General features: G+C 35.5%; 1 protein-coding gene, 1 non-coding gene and 1 pseudogene across 11 annotated transcripts in view; 1 reads left to right on the top strand and 2 right to left on the bottom strand.

The window, feature by feature from the left end:
• The window catches only part of CDH12 (cadherin 12), a 1102672-nt gene that overhangs the window by 956179 nt on the left and 131595 nt on the right, over nucleotides 1-14898 (top strand). The window contains exon 1 of one of the 10 annotated variants that reach the window (NM_001364109.2): nucleotides 7319-7581. The gene's annotated coding sequence lies outside the window, so the exon portion shown is untranslated. 10 annotated transcript variants of the gene reach the window in all.
• On the bottom strand, nucleotides 12395-14640 carry HSPD1P1 (heat shock protein family D (Hsp60) member 1 pseudogene 1; annotated as a pseudogene).
• Nucleotides 12597-12712, bottom strand: SNORA105A (small nucleolar RNA, H/ACA box 105A). Its single transcript, NR_132787.1, has one exon. It is a non-coding gene; the product is annotated as a small nucleolar RNA, H/ACA box 105A (small nucleolar RNA).

The following is a 14898-nucleotide window of genomic DNA, read 5'->3' as shown; positions in this document are numbered from 1 at the left end:
CCTGGCTGTCATTGTATTTATATAACCTTTTTTTCCCCTTTCTCCTTACTGAGCAACATTTCAGTTGATTATATTTGTTGGCAATTTCTATCAAAATAAAACTTATATGTTCATCTTTATGAACTCAATATTTTTTTCTCAGATTTAGTTGTAGGTAGAATTTAATTTTTTTTGGTTGGCTTGTATTTTCCAATGATTCTGAATAAAGAGCAGAAACCTCAAAGTTCTATTTATTTTCCTTTGACTTTTTCTCTAGCAACATACTAAATTGAGACTTTTTACATGTGCTTGTAGACAAATTATACTGATAAGAATAAATAAGCCAATAAACTCAAGAGGGATAAGCTACCACAGATTTAATACTTCGTCAATCTATAGTCTCATTTTTCTGAAATATCTGGGAAGCGGGCAGTGTTAAGAAGTTTAGCCATCTATCAAGCATTAGATAAAAAAAGTTTTTTTTGTTTCACGTGTTTTCCATCATTTGTCAGTCTTACTTGATTCTTTGATTTCAAAATAACAGCAAAACTATACTTGTTTATACATCGATTAGGTTGTAGATCACCTTGAATTAGCCATTGGACACAACACTCGGTCTCTCAAGTTCAGTCTTTAAAGGCTTTTATAACAATCTGGTATTTCAATGGTGAATGGAAGAGAAAGAGGTAGAGTTCCCATTAGCTGCTGAGAATTGTAATAATCTGATTTGCATTTTATTCATGTCACAGCTTGTGAAATAGTTTACATATAATGAAAAGAGGATGCCATCTTTTAGATTTTTGAGCAGAGAAAATTGTTATTTTGACACTTTTTAATTGTCCAAGCTGTGAAGATAATAATCTATGTTTGGAAAAGAGTTGGTACTGAAACAAATTGGTTTATAAGAGGAATTCCAGTATTATAATTTTTCAAGCTCATATAAATATGTATTTGTATTTTTCTCACTCTCACTCTCCATCGGTGACTCTCAATTTCTTTTTTGGAATGAATTCTATTTGATTAAGCTGGCTGTCATTCCAGCTGGCATAGCAGATACTGTGCCTCATTTATGCCCAGAGTTCAGCATTCAAACCTTACGCTATGTAGAGGCGTGGAAGCCAATGCACCTTCTCTCAGGGCTTTAATTCAATTTAAGATTAGAAGAGACACCTCTGCACATCTGCTAGCTCCCAAGGGAAGGGAATTGTTCTGCCTGGTCCATTGTTATCCTGGTGCTTGGGTTGCAGCCAAGAGCCACACACTGATGAAAATAACTGAGATTTGAGAGATCCTACCCAATGCTAGAGTGGGCTCCCAGGCTGTGTTTGCTTCCAGGCCTGGGGGATCTTCCTATCTGTACCCTCATGCACAGTTATTTGAAGGAAGCCAGTTTCCTGCTGATCTTTACCTTCAATCATGAAGGCTACTACCTGGGCACTTGGGCAGGGCTAGATTCTCTCCAGAATGGTAGAATTCAACTCCAGTCCCTGACTGGGTGGGGGGCAGTGGCTCCTCTGGGCTCTGACACACTTCTTGTGGCACAAGGCTGTCTAACATCAGCAGCTGAGCTGAGCCCTGAGAAAGAAAAGCGCAGCTGTGTGGCTAACAAGGTGATGCAGTTTCCCAAATTGATGCATATGGAGCTCTGGAAACATTCCCTGCTGCTCTAATGGACTGAAGACTGCTTGTGGAAGAGCAGCTCCTTAAGGGCAGGATGAGCGTCCTGATGGGCTAAGTCAAGAAGCTTCCACGCATTAATGACATATAGGAAGACAGAACCACAGTTTCTCTTCTCTACTCAGTGCCAGGGCCGCCGGCCTACTCAGTTTTGTTTGTATCTTCCCATGTGGAATCTTAATGCCCATATTTGCTACATTTATGGTTTAGACCACATATGTTAACCCACAAATAATACCTCTAAACATGGGGTATGTGAGGTAAGCTGAAGGAGTGTGAGGGGGAGATACATTCCATTTCTCTCCAATCACTTTGGAAGCTTCTTGCACATTTACTCATTTCTCTCCAGCTCTGTCTTCTTCTCTGTGCTATAGGCTACTACTGTCCCTTTATAGTGAGCGCAGCTGAACAGCCTTGAAAGTCAACTAAGGAGGAACAGTATAGCAGGCTAAAAGAGACCAGTTCTCTGAGAACTAGTCTTTTTTTTTTTTTCAATTTATTTGCTACGTATTAGTTGGTGCAAAAGTAATTTTGGTTTTTGCAGTTAAAAGTAATTTCCCTTCACATTTTAATTGACTTGAGCAAATATGGTGAACCACTTATGCTCTATGCAGTTATTATAAATATGGGAGATATTAGAGGGCTGAGGAGCAGTCACAAGGTATCCAGAGAAAGATCCTTTAGTTATTACTAAAGGATAATGTTAGATTTCTTTTCGTGTTGCCAAGGGTTACCCCTTTTACAGATGAAAGATAAATAAACTCTGCCTTGGTTTTAAATGCTGGTCAAAAAAACCTGGAGTCCTAGAATGCAACTAAATTCAAAAAAGGGGTAATGTTCTTTAAATGATCTGAATAAAATTATAAATAAATATAGCTGTATAAAGAAAGATTTTCTTTCTTTCAAACTGCATATTTATTGTGGGTATTTGTGTACATGTATGTGTTTGTGTTTCTACACTTTTTAAGTACACATTATACTTTACAAGTTGATTCATAATAGATATACATAGTGTTTGGATACTCGTGATAACTTAATACATTTGTATATTTGTAATCAAATCAGTGTCCTGGGAATATTCATAACCTGAGATATTTATGCTTTCTTTTTTTTTTTTTTTTTTTTTTCTTTGAGACGGTGTCTCCCTCTGTTGCCCAGGCTGGAGTGCAGCGGCACAATCTGGGCTTACTGCAAACTCCGCCTCCCGGGTTCAAGCAATTCTCCTGTCTCAGCCTCCTGAGTAACTGGGACTACAGGCTCATGCCACCATGCCTGGCTAATTTTTGTATTTTTAGTAGAGACAAGGTGTCACTATACTCATGAGACTGGTCTCGAACTGCTGACCTCAGGTGATCCACCCGCCTTGGCTTCCCAAAGTGCTGGGATTACAGGCATGAACCGCTCTGCCCAGCCAATATTTATCTTTTCTTTATGCTAGTACCATTCTATACTTTAATTGTTTAAAATCTATTTCTCTCACTCATCTCTTTGGACTAGCACCTAACTCAGCACCTCTTGCAGGCGTTAAATACTGTAAATGGTTTCTTCAGCGAATAATTAATTAAAATAAAAAACTCAAATACCTTTTCTGTGATGTAAAGGGTTGTAAAGAACTTTATTCCTTGGTTATAATTAATGACAGAAAAAAAATCTCACTGGCAGCTGTTTATGTAAGGAGCCATTTCAGTTGGTACACTTTTCTTACAAATTTGTTTCTTTATAACTCTACTGGGCTTCAAAACCAGAAGTAGAGAAGAATGACATGATTCATTCTTAATGTTGCACTTGCTTGTTTCTATATATCAGTAGATAAGAAAATATATTTCACCCACTGAAAACAATCAGTAGCAGGGTTACTTCACTCATGTCATTTTGCAGTAGACATCAAAATTGCAAGAATACTTGAAGTTCTTATTTTCAAAAAGTTGAATGTGCTACCAAACTGATTTTGGGGTACTACACTAAAAATTCTAAGGCTTTGTTAAATATTACTGGTGACAATAAATGTAAGCTGCACTATTTAGCAAGAAAAAGATGCACAAATATTTCTATAGGTGTGTCTGCTTACAAAGAGATATGTCTGCAATTCCCGCTTCTTTTCTAATGGGCCAATTTCTGAACTCATTATGCCTTTCTGGACTTCATTTTGTTCTCTCCTGCCACTCCCTTGAATTTTCCTTTTATTGTGGCCCTGTTTTTGCTGAGGTTCTATTAGTATAATTTCTGAATCCCCTCTTTTTCCCTCAACCACAACTTAGACTAAATAGTTGCTGCAAACACGCATTCAAATGATCCACCCATGCTTGAAATTTTACAATTAACTTGAAAGGCAATGATCAAAACTCTTCTAAGTCGTTTACAGTGCGGTACAAATGAGATAACTGCTAGCAGATGTTGATGTTCAAAAGATAAGAACAAGAGCAAGATGCGGGAGAACTTTGTTACTATAGAAGATAAAGGGTATGAAAAGGTGATAAAGGGGATCAAAGGCAAACGTGATGTACTAAATCCTTCTATCAAGAGCAAGACCAGTTAGTTGTACGTGAAGCTTTGCTGGTTGTTTGGTTACTCTTTCCAACCATTATACCATATTATTAAATTACAAGATATGATTACTTCCTCAATTAAGTTATTATTTCAACAAATTATTGAGTCAATACTTAGATCAAGCGGGTTTTTTAATGGAGAAAACAGAGATGGATATCATGCTTTTGCTTTTCCTGAAACCAAATCAGGCAGCATCACAGATTTTTTTAAGGAGGAGAATGGCCATAGGTCATATCCTTGTGAACCATTTTTTAAATTATTTTCCAAAAGATTTAGTATTGTAGGTAAACTGATGCAAACATTTTTATAAACGTAAAACTTTATATATTTATTAAAATAAAAATAAACACTTTTAATACATACTGTGAGTTTCTGCCACAAGAAGAATTTGTGGCTTTTAAAACCCTAGTGAATAAAATTAGACTAGAAGAAAAAAGCTTATTTCTTTTACAATCCAAATTAATCTCTGGCCTAAGTAACTAACTGCATGTGATGGCAGAACCTGCGAAAAGTGACAACAATGAAATACTTTACTTTTTCCCGCCACCACCCTAAACCCACCACCTACCCTAGAGTTCCAGGATTCTTTAAAGGAAGTTGTATTCCATTCTAGGAAAGTTCATATCAAACAACAAGACAGCTCATCACCATGATTGATAACCACATCACTCTGAGCCTTGCCGAACATCTACATGACTAAACCAGAAGCTGTTTATCAAGAATTGCATATCAATTAATAAACAAAACCAAAGGGAATTACTAGCATTATCACAGAAAGCATTTAAAAAATGTTATGCATCTTTTACTCCCCAAATACAGTTCAGATCTGTAATTATTCTTATTTTTACTGAAAATGATCAGAATTTAAATACTATTTTATTAACTGGAAGTCCAAGATATCATAATGGATTTAAAACTGAACGTGTTATATGAGCTTGGCATAGCAGTCATGATCAGCTAAAATTCTCAGCACAGTATTGGAACAGGTTCAGGAGAACTCAAATTGGTAGCCATCAATTAAGCATAGATTTGGAGCCTTTCCTAGTTTTCTTTTCTTATCTTTCTCTGTTTTGTTCTTCCTCTTTTCCTTCCTTCCTTCCTTCTTTTGAAGTTTTGATTTGATCTAGCCACAAACTTGGCCCTTGTTTCAAAATAATTAATAAGGTACATTTAGCAAGGAGAATTAAGTACAATCAGAAACTGTAACCTTGGGATATTGATTTGCTTGTAGAAAACATTGATTGTCTCCTATAGAGATAAATTCAACTATTTTGGCTACATCCAAACACTTAATCCAAAGATTAACTCTGATCCTTGTTTAGTCTGCTAAAAAGACTTGTAAGAAACATTGCCAGAAAGAGTGTGTGTGTGTGTGTGTGTGTGTGTGTGTATGTGTGTGTGTATTCACAGGAAAGAGAATTGGACTGAAGAATGAAGGGACTTTATTTCTTCTCCCAACTGTGATAGTATAGGCCACATGATGTGTGTAATTCATTTCATGATCTCTAGCTGTTTTTGTCATCTCTGTAATGGAAAGCAAAATGAGATTTTATCTTAAATAGCTTTTGGATCAAAAATTCTAAGCCTATGAAAGATGCAATGTTAATACTTCTTTGTTGAATTTTCCAAAAATAGGGCTATGTCTGAATTTCCACAGCTGTAAATTGATACTGTTAGATGTAAAAAGGTGACTAGAATGTAGTATCAAAACTCCAGGAGTGTATTTTCCTGAACTCTTAATCTTTTTCTAGTTCTACTTTATCTCAATTGTTAGGCTGATCTTAGATAATTGATTGCAAATAAAGTTTAATACAGAACTATAAATTGCAATTAGGATTTATATAAACAACTCAGGATAGATCTGGTGGGTCATTCCTTTGGAAAGGTATGTGGTAGATATATTGACATATCATAAATTTTAGGCTTATCATCATTTATTGGAATTTTCACAATGTAGTTGGCATTCTATGAAGACGTAATGGGGTTTATATACTTTGGATAACGTTGACAACCTGTATGCCAGTTGTAGAAAATCCAATTTTTCTCCCTTTCAGCTTGCTTCCTTGTTTTGACAAGTTTCTTTAAATTTTCTATTTTTGCTCTTTCTTTGTAATTCTAAATAGTACTACTTACTATCCCAACCTAAATTTGACAGTATCCTCACTTTTTTAGTGTCCTTTTATAAAATGAGCTTTATTGCGTTATTTCGTTTTTCAAATATATAGAGAATCCTAACATGTTTGTCCTTTATATACATCTCTGCTGCAAAGCCTATGTATGTAGAATCACTCTGTCTCTAAAATTGTGCTTTAATGGCTGTAGGACAGGTCCTTGTTTGTTAACATACAAATGCAAATAAACAAATGTAAAACACATAATTATTTTTATCCCCCTCCATTGAATTTGAAACTGAGCAGAAGGTGGAATAGTGAAATCACATGAGAAATACACCAATTGAAATCCTTTCTTAACCAAATAATTAGCTGAAAGTAAGGCTGTATAGTTCTTTTCACTCTTCTTATTTTCCATTAGCTGTTATAACAAATAATTGACTTTCTGGGGTTCTTTTTACTCTTCTTATTTTCCATTAATTATTATACCAAATAATTGACTCTAGACATTTTTACCATAGAAGAAAGATTTAAGAGTTTCATTCGTTCAATATGCTGTTTTTTAAGCAACCATTGATTAAATATTTGTAGTACATTCTGTGCTGGGTGCTGAGGATAGGGAAACGAATGAGGGAAATAAATCTTAACAATTAAAGTACAGTAGATGTTTAAGATCCTGACAAAAGAAAGAAATACAAGTAAGACATACACATACACCCACGCACAACTGTATTTACTACACTTTGCAAAGAGAAAAACAGAATTTTTCTGAAGTTGATTCATTTAAGTGTCAGTCATTTAAATGTGTTTTACATATTTCCCGAAACATAGAATGAACCTTTGAGATTTATATTTTGTTGGTCAAATATAGTTGTAAGAAGGAAGTGTCTTAGACTACAGCTGATGTTTTTTTACCTGATTCTGTAAGCAATAAAAGTCAAACATTGCCAGTGTGGGGTAACTTATATGCTAAGAAAAGCAGCTCTGCCCTCTGATGCTAACACAAAGAGGGTTTTAGGCAAAGGCAGCTGTTCTTCATCATCTATATTGAGAAATAGTAGTATTGCTTTTATGGACATGGTTACTTCCTACAGCAGAAAGAAAGAAAGCAAACAAAACCCCATATATTGTTTTGAGATGTCTAGAATGCAGAAGAACTGGAGAATACTTTCTGATTTTGTTCAGCATTCAGGATACTGATGGCATGGAAAGCTGTGTTATCAAAGCCACACACATGCGAACACAGACTGGAAAGAGGCTTCTTTAGGTAAAATATTTTGTTTCACTTTGCTTCTGTAAAAACAGCTTCAGGAGTCTAGCTTCAGAACATTGGATTGGTAATATATTTTTCTTTCAAAAGATAAGCCCCACAAAGGCAATGTCTGTTTCTCTCTTTACAGGTGCAGGCAACTACAGCTTTGCTAAAACTGGCAGTGACAGGTCAGGGAATGTGTTCACAGACTAGGGGGCCTCCTGATCTGAATTGTAATAATCCCCCTGCAGTGAGCCAGATACCACATCTCCCTTCTCCCTACTTTGTTTTGCTAAATAATGATAATATATACAGGAAAAATAGCTCTTACACTTTTTTATTGGCTTGGAAATTAAGATAGTAAACATTTTTAATGTTCAAATTATATTTCTTTAAAAGAGGCTGGCATCACTTTTCTCATTCCCTTATTGAAACTCAGTTTAAGTATAAAATATAAAAACATTACTTATCATGCAGCATGTTGATCTTACGTTTTCTGGATTAAAAATATGAATAGCACCTAAAATATATTATTTTTCCTATCAGAAATATATAATCATATGTGCTTTTCTATTTTAAGTATTTAGTCTTTCTTTAGAAATAAATTACTATATCAGCAACATGACAGCTTATTTCTAATTTTCTAATATGCACCTATTTGTATATACAAGCATGCCCTTATCTATAATGATAGAAGCTTAAAATCAACTGGAGTAGCATTAATAATGGACTGGCTATAAAAACTAGTATAATCATTTATTTCATAAAATAGGTATGTATTAAAAGCACATCAATAATATTTAGAAACTGAACATTTATCAATATATATTGTTAAATTTTAAAAAGCAGGTTACAATATAGTATAAATAGTATAATCTCAATTTACTTATATCTATGTAGGAATAACAATACAAACTTTAAAAGTATTATCACAAATACCTCCCACATGTTTGAATTGTGAGTGATTTTAAATTTCTATGAAGATATGTTACTTCTTTTTTTTATTATTATTATACTTTAAGTTCTAGGGTACATGTACACAACATGCAGGTTTGTTACATATGTATACATGTACCATGTTGGTGTGCTGCACCCATTAACTCGTCATTTACATTAGCATTCCTAATAGTATTACTTCTCTGAAGTGAGGAAACGTTGCAAATTGTTTCCTAAACTGAGGAACAATTCAAAGTAGATGCTATTTATCTCCCTGCATTGTTAGTGATGTAGTCTCTCTATGAGCTAACAGGTAAGGTGTTTGATATGAAATACTAGTCATCTTTTTAAAGTCTGAAAAGTAAGTCTCTAAGTTTCATATGAAAAAATTACCCTTTAATAATCTGAATGTACATTTTTAAAAGCACGAGGGAAAAAGGAGAGAAAAGCGTATGTTCTTTTGTCCTTTCTTAGATTTGGTACACAGTGTAGTGGACCTCACTGTAGAACTTAACCTCCGGTTGCACCATATTGCAACCAAATTTTTTGCCTGCATGTTACTACCCCAGGCCCGGCTAATGTAGCAGTCTTTTCAGACCCTCCTTAGTGTGACTGTTTTGTTGTTGTTGTTGTTATTGTTTGTCTTATACTCAGACTTTTTGTTTAGATCAACTGCTTACTGAACTGGCTCGTTAATTAGTGCTAATGGAAAGAGGTGAAAGAAAACCTGGAACTAAGGGGAAAAAAAAAATACAGTATTGGGGCAATTCTTGCTTATGTTATCTACTCCTGGCACTGCTCAAAAGTATTTGAATTCCTAGCTGTTGTGCCCTCATAACAGTGAATTACCCGGGCCCTGACTATGTTCATACTAAACTGTGGCCTCATGCAACCTGGTAGTGATTCTTCTGAAACTCAATAATTCATTTCTAGATGCCAGCAGGGAATTTTAATCATATATGAAGGACCTGGAGGGCTACTCAAAAAAGTCCATGGTGTGAATCATGTTATACAAGGAACAGTTGAAGAAGGGGGTATGTTCAATTGGAAGAAGTGTAAGTGCAAAATGATAGCTGATTTTCCATTGTTGAAGGAGAATAGGGAAGCTATGGATCCGCAGTGTCTCCAGAGGAAGAATGGGACACTGGGATGAAAAAAGTCACAGGCAGCCAGATTTTAACTATGGGAGGAAGATCTGTCTATTCATCAGAAGTGTTTCAAGTCACTATTGATGTTCATTTGGAGACAGAATTAATTTCTCCTTCAGTTACTTTCTTATAATATTAAATTTGTTATAGCTTTGATATTATAGTCATGCATTTTTAATTTTTGTCCATCACTATCAACTGAATCATAAACATCTTGTTTAAACTTCTTATCAATCATACAAAATAGTGTCTGAAAACAATATCAGCAAGGAGTGAAAGAAGGGATAAAAGAAGGAGTATCAAAGAATTATCATCAGGGAGATATTCTAAAGTGGAGAGAGAAAGATAAAATGGAAGTATAAATGCAAAGTCTTCTTAGATACTGTCAAGCTCAGAAATAATAAAGAATTTAATTAATTTATATGAGTGAATGAGTCTGAAAATCCTAAACAATTTTATCGTGTAAATATGGATATTGATAAAATACTGATACTGTCATATCACAACACATGTTGATAATAAGAAAATCTGCATGGCACACTAGAGGAAACTAACCAGAGACTATTGTCTCCATGACTCTCACGGCCCCAAGTCATAGCCAACTGCTTCATTGTTCCATCTTAAAAGATGTGCCAAAAACCAAAGATCATCATGCATTTGAGGAAAACTACATTATAAAACAGAAAAACAAATATTGAATGAGAGATAAGTAATAAAATATCGATAAGAATACCTAAACCACTTCCCCCAACATCTATGAAAATTCAAGTTACAATTATATCTAAAATAAAATTATATCTATTAGAAAAATGGAATAATTAGAGATTAAGTGCTTATGTGTAATATTTGAAGACATGTTAATGGAAAAAAAGAAGCATATTCTAAAGAAATAGAACAAAACCTCAAAGAGTTTTATATATCCCCTCTGAATTTATATATATAATAAATTTTATATTTATATATATTTATATATATTATATATAATATAATAATATATGTAAACTCTTTGAGGTTTTGTTCTATTTCTTTACTATTTTTCCTCATATATATGAGGAAAATTAATAAAAAGAAAAATAATAAAAAGAAAAAACACAAACAAAGAGAATCTGAGAATAAGAATTCCAGAAAAAGGATAGAAGAGCAAAATTTATAATTTCACACATCTAAGCATACAAGCTACAGATTACCAGTTTCACCCAGTGAATATGCCTGGTAATGAATGAAAAAAAACATACTTCATTTTAGCTATTAGAATACCAAAGATGAAGAAACTTTTTCCAAAATTTCAGAGGGAAGAAAGAAAATTTTTACAAAATCAGAACAAAAGAAGTAAGAAACAAATGGAACAAGCCACTTTAAATAGAGAATCAAAGTGGCATTAGACTTCCAGAGAGCAACATGAAAGCACAGTTGCTAGAAGTAAATGGAGCAATGAATTTTATGTTACAAACAAAAATGGTGCTTAACCAAAAATTTTATTTTCAGCCAAATGACCAATATATTCCAAGAACAAATTCAAGGAAGTTCACATACAATATACTACCCAAATATGTTTGGAAGATATGCTGGGGTCTTCTTTTCAGAATAAGGAACTAAAGCAAGCAGGAATTACAGGTGACATGAAGAGAACAGAGGTACCCATCTAATAAAGCAGTGAAGGAAAGAAGGTGCATGGAGAACTGGTGTGGGAACTACTTAAAAAATAAGATTTAATAATATACTGATATCAGTGAGTCTTTGGAAAGCACTGATGATATAGTAGAGACAAATAGGGTGCAAACAAGAAACATAATTAAAGCTCTATAAAAACAAAATATGCATAAAAAGTGAATATCCTAAACTGGCAAAGGATGACTGCTTAAAGTCCTATGAAGATATTTTTTGGCAAACTCATATAAATCAATACACAAGTGCAACTCAAATTCAGGATAGGAAAATATAAAATTATATTATCTGGGTTATGGGCTCAGATTTGCTATCTACAAATTGTGTTTGACCGTATATGGTGAGCTTGCATGAATCCTTTATTGAAAGAGTGAACCATTTTGAAGCTAAAGGGTGATGCTATCAGCTACCCAATTCAACAGGCATATAACCATTTCTCTGTAAACTAAGGGGTGAGTGGCATAGTAATTGAGAACAGCGGCTCTGGAATTAGCTCTACAGTACAATAAGCTAAAACTAAAGTTGTACAACCTTGGGTAAATTACAGATAGCCTCACTTGCCTTAGTTTCCTCACCTGTAAAATATAGATAACAGTTACTTTCTCATACTGTTGTGAGAATTAAATTTGTTAAAACAAGGAATGTGCTTAAAACAGGGCCTTTTGCCTGGGCGCGGTGGCTCATCTCTGTAATCCCAGCACTTTGGGAGGCTGAGACAAGTGGATCACCTGAGGTCAGGAGTTCCAGATCAGCCTGACCAACATGGAGAAACCCCATCTCTACTAAAAACACAAAAAATAGCTGGGCATGGTGGTGCATGCCTTTAATCCCAGCTAACTCGGGAGGCTGAGGCAGGAGAATCGTTTGAACCCGGGAGGCAGAGGTTGCGGTGAGCCAAGATCACGCCATTGCACTCCAGCCTGAGCAACAAGAGTGAAACTCCATCTCAACAAACAAGCAAACAAGCAAAAAACAGGGCCTTTTATAATAAGTTATTACCCCATACAGTAGTTTCAAAAATTAAGTGAATATATTTAAAAAGGGAAAACACAGAATGTTGTCTAATACATCACTTTTTTTTAACTAAACAAATTTTTATTACACAAAGGTTGTCACATAATTGGATATTTCTCTACTTTGTACACAACTATTCTCACTCTCCACAGAAAGGCTGCTTAACTTCTCATCTGGTGGTGGCAAGTACTAAAATCCTGATTTTAACAGAATAGTAGTAAAAATGCCTCAGTGATTTAGGTTGAAAGCAGTACATTGGTACATGGCTCTTGTACCCAGTATCAGGAATGTACAAATGTTTTTTATTCAAAAATACAAAATAAATTATCTGTAGGCATGGACAATGACAGCAGTAAACCATTATATATTTTGTCAACTGAAACCAGTAACTGATGGTTATAGTGATTTTCAGCCAGCCTTTTTTTCATTTTCTCCAACTGACTTCTCTGAAGTTATTGGTGAGGAACACTGCCTTGGGCTTCCTGTCACAGTTCATTAATAAAGGTAAAGCACTAGTCTAGGAGTTAGAACATGCCACCTCCCATACCACCTCCCATTCCACCCATTGCACCCATTCCAGGGTCCTTCTCTTCTTTAGGAATTTCTGTGACTACAACTTCTGCTGTAGTTAACAGAGAGGCCACACCAGCAGCATCCAATAAAGCAGTTCTCACAAGCTTTGTTGGGTCAATAATTCCTTTTTCTACCATATTCATAAAATCTCCAACCATAGCATCATAACCAACTTCTGAGGAATTTTGCATAATTTTCTCAACTATCAAAGATCCTTCAACACCTGCATTCGTAGCAGTGGTCATTGCTGGAATTTTGAGTGTTCTTTTAATAATTTCCATACCAATTTTTTGATCTTCATTAGCTGGAGTCAATGAGTCCAAGGCTGGAATGCATCGAAGGAGGGCAAAACCCCCTCCCAAAACAATGCCTCCTTCAACAGCAGCTCTTGTAGCATTAAGGGCATCTGTAACTCTGTCTTTCTTTTCATTCACTTCAACATCACTTGTCCCACCAAACTTCAGCACAACTACTCCATCTGAAAGTTTTGCCAGCCATTCATTCAGTTTTTCCTTTTCATATTCACTAGTTGTGACATCTAACTGCCCAATGATTTCTTGAATACGTTTTTCAAGTTGAGCCTTGTCACCTTTTCCTTTTAAGAGCATGGCATCGTCTTTGGTCACAATGACCTCTCCAACTTTTCCTAAGTCATGAGGCTGAACATCTTCAAGATTCAGGGTCAACCCCTCTTCTCCAAACACTGCACCACCAGTAGCAATAGCCATATCTTTAAGTTGGTTCTTTCTATTGTCACCAAACCCTGGAGCCTTGACTGCCACAACCTGAAGACCAACCTTTAGCCTATTCAAGATGAGTGTACTTAGAGCTTCTCCATCAACATCTTCAGCGATTATCACCAAAGGCTTATGGTGAGCATTGGCAATTTCAAGAGCAGGTACAATGGACTGGACACTAGAAATTTTCTTTTCACTCAACAGAACATAGGCATCCTGGAATTCACATTTCTGACCTTTTGATGTATTAATAAAGTATGGAGAAATATACCCTCAATCAAACTTCATGCCTTCAATAATTTCTAATTCATCATTCAGTGTTTTTCCATCCTTTACTGTGATGACACCCTTTCTTCCAACCTTTTTCATTGCATCAGAGATGATATTGCCAATTTCTTTGTCTCCATTTGCAGAAATCATAGCAACCTGTGCAATTTCTTCAGGGGTGGTCACAGGTTTAGACTGCTTTTTAAGTTCAGCAATTACAGCATCAACAGCTAACATCACACCTCTCCTGATTTCCACTGGATTAGCACCTTTGCTAATCTTCTGGAAGCCTTCCTTGGCTATAGAGCCTGCCAGTACAGTAGCAGTGGTAGTGCCATCCCCAGATTCTTCATTTGTGTTATTGGCAACATCTTGAACAAGTTTAGCTCCAATGTTTTTATATTTATCCTTCAAGTCAATTGACTTTGCAACAGTCACACCATCTTTTGTTACGTTGGGACTTCCCCAGCTCTGCTCAATAATCACTGTTCTTCCCTTTGGCTCCATTGTAACGGCCACAGCATCGGCTAAAAGGTCTACCTACACCTTGAAGCATTAAGGCTCGGGCATCTGCACCAAATTTTACATCTTTGGCATAAGCTCGAGTGAGATGAGGAGCCAGTACCCTGGACACTGGTCTCATCTGGCGAAAGACTGTGGGTAACCGAAGCATTTCTGTGGGGCGGCTGCAGGGCATGCGCGCGGCGAGACAGGTTGTCGGCGGCGAGTGAGGGACAGAGTGCTAATATATCACTTTTAAAAAGCAAATAAATGTGGCAGTTGTACTATAAATGGAACATACAGACATCTGCCAAATTATGAGAGCAATACAGCCAATCTATGTCTGGTTCAAATAACCTGTTTTTTTCTGATTTAAAAATCAATTTGAAATACTGATAAAGTAATAAAAATACGTCTTTTTGTTAATTTCTATGATTGCTTTACGTCATCCTCTGTGTGTGGCTGTGCATGTGGCAATAAGCAAATTAAAT

Source organism: Homo sapiens, chromosome 5 (genome assembly GCF_000001405.40).
Source record: "Homo sapiens chromosome 5, GRCh38.p14 Primary Assembly".
Lineage (NCBI taxonomy): Eukaryota > Metazoa > Chordata > Mammalia > Primates > Hominidae > Homo > Homo sapiens.
This window is presented reverse-complemented; position numbering and strand designations above follow the sequence as displayed.